This window comes from Homo sapiens, chromosome 15, assembly GCF_000001405.40.
Source record: "Homo sapiens chromosome 15, GRCh38.p14 Primary Assembly".
Lineage (NCBI taxonomy): Eukaryota > Metazoa > Chordata > Mammalia > Primates > Hominidae > Homo > Homo sapiens.
Window position 1 is genome coordinate 38,350,234 of NC_000015.10, and position 9,041 is coordinate 38,359,274.

Consider the following 9,041-nt stretch of genomic DNA (forward strand, 5'->3'; position numbering starts at 1 on the left):
TTCTTGGCTTGCAGGTAGCTGCCCTCACATGGTCTTTCCTCACTTTGCCCTCACATGCTCTTTCCTCTGCCCGTACATCCCTGGTGTCTTTCTCTGTGTGTCCAAATTTCCTCATAAAGAAAACAGTCAGATTGGATTAAAGTCTCTCTTAAGGGCCACATTTTAACTTAGTCACCTCTTAAAAGGCTCTATATCCAAATACAGTCGCATTACTGGAGGTTAGGGCTTCAGCATATGAATTTGAAGAGGACATAAGTCAGACCATAACATTTTGTCCTTTGTTCCCAAAATCATGCCCTTCTCACTTGCAAAATACATTCATCCTTATCCTAACAGCCCCAAAGACATAACCCATTCCAGCATCAACTCTTAAGTCCCAAATCTCATCTAAATAACGTCTTTCAATCAAGTGTGGGTAAGTGGCTCATGCAATAGTAGAGGTACAGATCCAAAACAGGGTAGGCTGTCTGGAGACCCAAGAAATAGTTGTAGTCTGAGTCCAAAGGCACCCTGCTGGCAGAATTTCTTCTTGCTCAGGGGGAGCTCAGTCTTAGTTCTAGTAAAGCCTTCAACTGATTTTATGAGGTCCGCCTATACCACAGAAGGTACTGTGCTTTCCTCATAGTCCACCAACTGAAATGTTGATCTCATCCCAAAAACATATCATAGAAATGTCCAGAATAATATTTCAACAAATATCTGGACACTGGCCCCACCAAGGTGACACGTAAAATTAACCATCATAGCCCTCATTGCAGTTTTTATCTGTTTCTTTTTTAGGTCCCTTTGAAATCAATCAGACATGTCAGCTTTCAAGATGAGGATGAGATTGTCAGAATAAACCCTCGAGATATCTTAATACGTCGCTATGCAGACTACAGACATCCTGACATGTGGAAAAATGACTTGGAAAGAGATGATGCTGATTCCAGTATTCAGTTTTCTAAACCAGACAGTAAAAAATCAGACTATCTGTACTCTTGTGGGGATGAGACTAAGTTAAGTTCACCCAAAGACTCTGTGGTATTTAAGACGCAGCCTTCCTCATTAAAAATTAAGAAGTCAAAACGAAGAAAAGAGGATGGTGAACGTTCTCGCTGCGTATACTGCCAGGAAAGGTTTAATCATGAAGAAAATGTTAGGGGAAAATGTCAGGATGCTCCAGACCCTATTAAAAGATGCATATATCAAGTTAGTTGCATGCTCTGTGCAGAGAGCATGTTGTATCATTGTATGTCAGACTCAGAGGGAGATTTTTCTGATCCCTGTTCGTGTGACACTAGCGACGACAAGTTCTGCTTGCGATGGTTAGCCCTGGTAGCTTTGTCTTTCATTGTACCATGTATGTGCTGCTACGTCCCTTTGAGAATGTGCCATCGCTGTGGTGAGGCATGTGGTTGCTGTGGTGGGAAACATAAAGCTGCTGGATGAAATGGTCCAGTGCCAAAATGAGCTTAAAATCTTTGTTTCCAGGAATTAGCTAACTTGGATTTGTGGAAGCTTTTGGCAAGCAATATGGAATCTTGCCTGGTATCATTGAGCCCACACATGGAGGAAGCAGAACTCATCAGTTCTTGGCGTTTCACGCCATGCCTAACTTTTCCCTTGAGTGCATGGCATGTTTTGTTACAGGTTGTAGAGTATTTGCAGAAGGAAACCATTTCTGGTTATTTGGCTATAAAAAGTCAGCATAAAATATGATCCAACTAAAAGGGATTAATTTTTGGCATTTTTGTATATTTATGCATTAGGTGATGGGACTTTTAAAGGTTTGAATTTATTAGGACACGAACTAAAAATAAAAGTGCACTAGGGGACAGTTGATTTCAATCTAAGAAAAGTTAACACTTGGGAATTACAAGAAGTAAAACAAGTGCAACTAAATCATTTATTAGTTGTTTTTTGAAAGCAGTTTTATGTATAAATAACAAATGTTTATATTTAACTAAATGTAAGGTACGAATTATTACATATTAAACTTTTCTTCCCCTTCCTAGTTCTGAAGTAGATATATATATATATATATCTACTGTCACATTCCATATATTTTGAATATTTAACTCATCTAGTTAATAATGTTTTTATTCCATGCGAATGATTTGATATTTTCATCCTTATTTCTCTTTGGCTACAATTTATATTGAGTTATATCTGTACATTCTGGTAATCTAAAATCCTTAAAAATACTCTAATAGCCTTGAGTGACCAACTTTTTTTTTAAAGCACAGATGTAATTGTCTAATGTTCTGATGGGAACGTAACACTTATTTTTATATAAAAAGAGACTGAGTAAACAAACATTATAGAAAAAAAGTGAAGTTTTTTAGTTGTTTTTTGTGGTATTCAACCAGCAAGTTGTTTTCTTTCAGAGTTTCCTCCTTCAAAAAGTTATATTGCATTTACAAATGTTTTACAAGGCAGAAAGTTTGACTGGATAGTTAGTGTAAAAGCTTCATGTTGAGATCTTCACGTATCATTCTGCTAAACCAGAATATGTTCAGCTGTGTTACTAATTTTTCAGCTTAATCCTCAGTGCTTATTATTTACATAACAATAACTTTTTATCAGTTACATTTTATTTTTATTTAAACTGGCCAAAAGCAAAATTATTTTATGTTAAAATGTGTGCTAAACTATCCCAGGAAAGTATTTAATCCAACATTGTAAATGAAGTATCTTGTACATATAAATTTATTTCTTTTGCAGAGCATTATATTACTGGATGTTTAATTTACAAAATAGTTGGGTAAATGTTCCAACAAACTTTAAAGTACCTTGAAGTCAAATTGTCTGTTTTTGTTTTGTTGTTGTTGTTGTTGTTTTCTTAAGTGTTACATTAAAACTCTAACCAAGGAAAGGGTTCTTTAAGAACATTCCCTTAGAGGGATAAAGTTGAGAAGTGTGCCTTTTTTTTAATGGCTTGAAGTTTCAGAGGTGATAAAAATTAAAATCACACTACTATTTGAAGCTCATTTTCTATGCAGGTTTTTAAACGTCATTTATGTATCATTCTTTTTATATATCACACTTAAGCTTGTGTTAGCTTTTTTCTTTTGCCCCAGATCAAACTGAACAATGTATATAACACTATCTGTCTGTAAAATACTTTTTTTAAGAAAGCATTTATATTTATATGACAGCTTGAACTGACAACATTGTGTATATAGATCATCTTGAAGTATTATTTCACATTGAAAAGAAGAAAATATATTGATAACTATAGATGTTATGAAGAAGAGGGTATTTCTAGTTTTGTACTAAAAATCAATTGGATGAACTAAATCCAAAACATGACACTGTAGGCAGCAGTTTTAAGTCTTATTTTTACTGTTTATATATTTGAATGCTGCTACAACAGATGATCTTCATCCCTGAAGTTTTCAGCTAAACTTGGTTTCCTAGAATAGACTGTTAACTTTCAAAATTTTTATTGGTGAAATGGAAATACTGTTTTTCCTTGTGAATGAATTTTCATATTTGTAAGTGCTAAGTTTATAATTCAGGTTTGATCAAGGTGTGAATAACTGAAGAAAATAACTTGCTGGCTATATAGGAAAATGCTGTGGAAATGAACTGTGTATATACTTCTGGGAGGAACAAATTTAATCATTTCTTCTGTTAAGCACTAATCAGTATAGTGCAACTCCTGGTTCTGTACTGTATTTTATATGCAACATATATGCTTTAATATTTTAATGTTTGTGCATTAATATTTTCAATTTGTTTAACCACTTTGCTGCTAAGATTTTGCCGTCCCATTCCCATTTTTTCCTTTACAATTTTAAACAAGTTTCTTCATTAAAAACTATGGTGATGAAATGGTTTTTATTTTACCTTGGATCTTTATAGTTAACATACCCAGTTTCTTAATCAGTCTACAAGACTAACTGATGATATAATGTTCTCTGAATCCCTATATGGAAATTTTCTTTTGAGTAAATGAGAATTCCTTTGTGAAAGCAAATGGGTAGTTTAAATCACTGATTCTTAAACATGTGTATAGGCACCTTCAGGAACATTTTCTCATTCTCTGTACAGATTCGGCACTGCCAATTGGCTTTTCCTCTAAAACTTTTCTTTGTTTTTATCTGATATAAGCAGATGGCTCAAGACAACTGCTTGAGTAATAGTATTGAAAATGGAATCATCTAGACGGCATGACAAGCAAGACTGGTCTGATGAACTTGTTCAGAATTGATAATTCTTAAATATTTCTCTTGGCTTCAAAAGGGACATCATTTGATTTCTGAAGAAGTATGTCGTGTGGAGCTTCAGCACCACCTACTGGATGATTTCCAGGCCAGAGACATGAGATGGCAATAGGGATCTGACAGGGTTCATCACTACTACCATTAAAGGGCTATTTATGTGGTGACCACCTCTACCAGGGAAACCAGGAATAAGAACTGTCTCAAAGGAATTGTAAAATGGTTATTTACCTAATGTGTCTTGTTGGCTTGCTGAAAGATTTTAAGCACTTTTTTCTTACATATCCTGTTTTAAAATATTTGTTGATATTTGGGACTGGCAATCAAACTTAATGGATGTACTGAGGCATTTATAGAACCAGTTGCTTTAACTCTCAAAAGCCATTACCAAAATGGTATTTTTTTCCTCCTTCCGCCAGTCAGGGAGAATTTTTAAAAATAATAATCAAAACATGAAAAAACATAATCACACCTGTATTTTATCATGACAGCTTCAGAGAGTGTGTGTGTACGTTTTTCTCTCTTTTATTTGAGACGGAGTTTCACTCTTGTTGCCCAGGCTGGAGTGCAATGGTGCGATCTCAGCTCACTGCAACCTCCGCCTCCTGGGTTCAAGCGATTCTCCTGCCTCAGCCTCCCAAGTAGCTGGGATTACAGGCACCCACCACCATGCCCAGCTAAGTTTTGGTATTTTAGTAGAGATGGGGTTTCACCATGTTGGCCAGGCTGGTCTTGAACTCCTGACCTTAGGTGATCCACCCACCTCGGCCTCCCAAAGTGCTGGGATTACAGGCATGAGCTACTGCGCCCAGCCGTGTGTATGTTTCTGAAATGATGATGGGGTGGGGTTAAAATCTAAAGGGAAAAACTTGAAACTACCTATTTTCATTGGTTATTCAGCAGTGCCTAAAATGAGCTTTTGAAGTAATGTAAATGCACTTTCAATTCATGTGTATAGTGCCATCTGATATCTTGGGTAAGTCTTGCTTTTTCTTTTCTTTTTCCTCTCCCCTGCCCCCTTAATTAAATGGCACGGAAATGTTTCTTAATATGCACGTGAGTCTCCAGAGTACAGGAAATGTGCTTTCCTCTAAATGGTCAATGTAAAGAATCTTAAGGATATTTCTTGTGTTGAAATTTACATTCGATTTTGTGATTACACTTGGAAGTATGTGTTAAATTGGGTTTTTAATTGTAGCCCAAAGGTGCATTAAGCAAGTGTAACATTTTTTCCACATAAAACTTAGAAAACTTTAGTTACCTGAAAAGCAAGGATTCTTTACTAATTATTATGCTCATTCTTGATTTGACTTCCATGTTCACACTTCAAAGTGTAAGAGGAAGCACTAGAAACTGGCATTATTGTTGCACTAAAAAAGTCTATAAATCATAATAGCACCATGAGGTGTTTTGCAATGAGACAAACATGAAGAATGAATTTCTTTAAGAGAGAAACACAACCGGAGGTGATTTATATAAACCAAAAGAAAAAAAAAGGCTTTAAGGTATTAGGTACTGTTTGCCTAGCAGCCAGGTGGTTATAAAAGATTCATATGCTTTGGTACACTGATAAATGTTAGCCATTATTCCTGAAAGCTTCTTAAATTGCATCAGTTGTTTTGAAATTTTTTCAAGAATAAACTAGTTGAAAAGTCTTTGTATTAAAAATACACATAGATTTTTGTGAACATTTCCAGTGTGTAGTGTCGTTTGCTTTCTATTTCTGACCTCAAAAGTGCCTCACTTGTATATTATTTCCATTAAAAGCTTGACTGCATTCTTTCTAATGAACAATGAAAAACTGTTTAACTCATGTCATAATGTGTCTCCTCAGATATAGTTAACTAGCTTGATAGTTTTGAGTATATAATGTAAATAATACATTATAAGTTTGTAACCATTTCTGTTACTTCATACCCGTGTAATTGGACATAGCAGATGATTATCATAAGAATTTGTTTTAATGGTTTTTTTCCCTCCTGGAATTACCTGATTAAACCTGTCATGAATTATAAAAGGACTTTTTCTTATTCTCCTAGAGCTTATCAAATTATCACATAAGAGATAATTACTGGAGGAGAAAGTAAAAATGGAAGCTTTTGATAATTAGCTCTGTTCTTTAAAAGTATACTTTTAAACTGAAAGTTCACATATAGTTCATCTTAATAACATATTTATTCATCCTTAATTGTATTCAGATTTTTTTTTAAGTCTCTAAGCTAATAATGTTATATTTATTGGTTTGGTAACATGTTGCAGCTAAGCTAATGACCTTAAGTGGCAATTGTTTAACCCAGGACTACTGATTTTTTTATATTCAAGTCAGTTTCATCGTTTTACTTAACTCGCCATATAACCAAAAATAACGAATAATCTAAAGGAAAGGTTATTAGGACAGTAATAAAAAATTATAGTGTATCTCAACACTAGAATAAGTTGGATTACTATATTATAGTTTATTTGAAAAATCAAGGAGTAACTGTATCTTTACCATTAATTATGAAATGTAGTCTCATGTGCTTATTTACAGGTTTTTCAGAATTTGCTTTACATTCTTCACATCAAGTTAATACCCACAAGTAAGTAGAATAGCTTTTATAACAAGGAAATTGAAACTAGGGTTCTAGCTTGGCTATCAATATAAGTGTCATGCACATAGTGCTCCTTAAAGAAAAAGACATCGACATCAATGGTATGAAAGCTGTAGTCACTCTTTAAATTGAACTGCTCTAAGATTTGCAGTTTTAGTGAGATCTGAAATGATGGTTCAAAAAATACATTCATAATAAAAGTCTTAACAAAATCACAGTTGAAATAGTGTTTCTTTTGTCTTTATTTTTGTTACATAATGTATTTTATACATGATTACTTTTAATCCTCAAGTAACCTTGTAAGTATTATCTTCCTTATTTTTCTAAGGAAGAGATTTGGGCATCAAAAGGTCAAAATACCAGATAACACAGAGGCACCAGGTCTGAAACAAATTGACTCCAAAGCATAGGCTTTTCTTCCTGATGCAGTTTCAGCTTTCTGTTACAGGAGTCACAGATACACTTCATAAAATAATCATTCTGTTAAAATGAAATTCTATTTATTATTTTAAGCTGGAGTAATTTTGTTTTATAAAGGAATAATTTCTTAATTTCTACTCTCCCTTGTCCATTTCTGGGCCCCCTATCTCACTAAGTTGTGGTACGTGATCCACAGTATGGCATGGGAATTTTTTAAATTGGAGGATAATTGTGATAATGCTTCAAGATATGCCAGTTGTGAGTTGATCCAATGGGAAGCACTAAAAACATACATAGTTCAGTTTGTGGAATTGTTCATTTTGCTCAATTGGTGGTATTTTATTGGAGGGATTCATTTTCACCAAAGCAGCAATACTTCTCCTTGAGGCAGTAGGAAACAATGCTCTAAAATGAGCCGTGTATACAGTACTCTTCCGACCTCCCGCTCCCCCCGCCCCCCCCCCCCCAAATGATGAGCGATTCATCTGTCAGTTATTCCACAGAGCCTCTTTTGGGAACCAAAGTTGCATTTATTGTCAGGACTACTTTTTTTTTTTTTTTTTTTCTGGAGACACAGTCTCGCTCTGTGCCCAGGCTGGAGTGCAGTGAGCAATCACATTACACTGCAAACTTGACCTCCCAGGCTCAAACAACCTTTCCACCTCAGCCTCCCAAGTAGCTGGGACCACAACAATTGCCACCATACCCAGCTAATTTTTTTCTTTTTTTGTAGAGACAAGGTGATGCTGTGTTACCCAAGCTAGTTTCGAACTCCTGGGCTCAAGCAATCCTTCTACTTCGACCTCCCCAAAGTGCTGAGATGACTGGCATGAGCCACCGCACCCGGCCAGGACTACTACTGAAACATGTTTCCCACAATGAGATTAGTATTCTCTCAAAATTACTGGTTCTGTTAACCTGGAAATAATTTATAATAACCAAGATGCTATGTGCAATTAGGAAGAAAGGAGGACAAAGAATTCCAGAATATTCAGTATTGAAATGTCAAGACTATTATCTCAACAATAAAATTTAAATTAAAATTTAACTTAAACCTGTCTTTCATTTCTATCACTTAGTTTCGTATTGCCAGTTGCAAGGCACCAATTTAAGTGCTGGTTTTTTTCCTTTTAAAATGTATTGTGATACATCTCCTTGTAGATTATTTTTCTTGCCAAACAAACCCCATTTTTTTGTGCTCCACGTTTTCCTCTCCCCTTTTTTTCTATTAATTAATGTTTCTCCAACTTCTCCAAATCTATGAGAGGAAGAATTCATGGAGAAGAAATGTTCATGAGTATATTTTACATTTTCTTTAAAAATTCTTGTATTCATCCAAAGAAAGTCCAGCAAGCTTGAATATATGTCTTCCGTTGGTAGGGGAAGCAAATGATTCGCAATCCCTTAAAATTTAAGAGAAAACAAAGTTGTATGAATTCACAAGCTTCTAACTGGTTAATAGTTTTTGTTTAAAACTGCTGAACTAAAGTGCTAACAATAACATGATTCTCTAGAGTCTAAGAAGAAAATGGGGATCCAAACCAAATTATTTAAATAATAAAATGATAAAGTTGAATTCACTGAAGTTTTAGGGCTGAAAGGCACCTTAAAGATCAGTACGACACCCTCATTTTATAAATGTAGTAATGGATCCAAGAAGGTTTAGATACTACTGCAAGGTTGTCATTCACTTAACATACACAGTAACACAATCTGTACTAAACTCTATATCCAACTGCCTAAAATACATTTCTTGCAAGTACCTTAAATTCAATATGCCCAAAACTGACATATTTCCCCCATTCTTCAAACCTTTTTTCTC

The 9,041-nt window shown here is 34.9% G+C and overlaps 1 protein-coding gene across 5 annotated transcripts in view; it reads left to right on the forward strand.

Moving 5' to 3' along the window:
- SPRED1 (sprouty related EVH1 domain containing 1) overlaps positions 1–7,016 on the forward strand; it is a 104,414-nt gene extending 97,398 nt beyond the window's left edge. For all 5 annotated transcript variants that reach the window (XM_047432199.1, XM_047432200.1, XM_005254202.4 and 2 more), the window contains one exon: positions 781–7,016. In XM_047432199.1, coding sequence (XP_047288155.1) covers positions 781–1,431 — 651 coding nt within the window. In that variant the 3' untranslated portion in view covers positions 1,432–7,016. The remainder of the gene's footprint in view (positions 1–780) is intronic.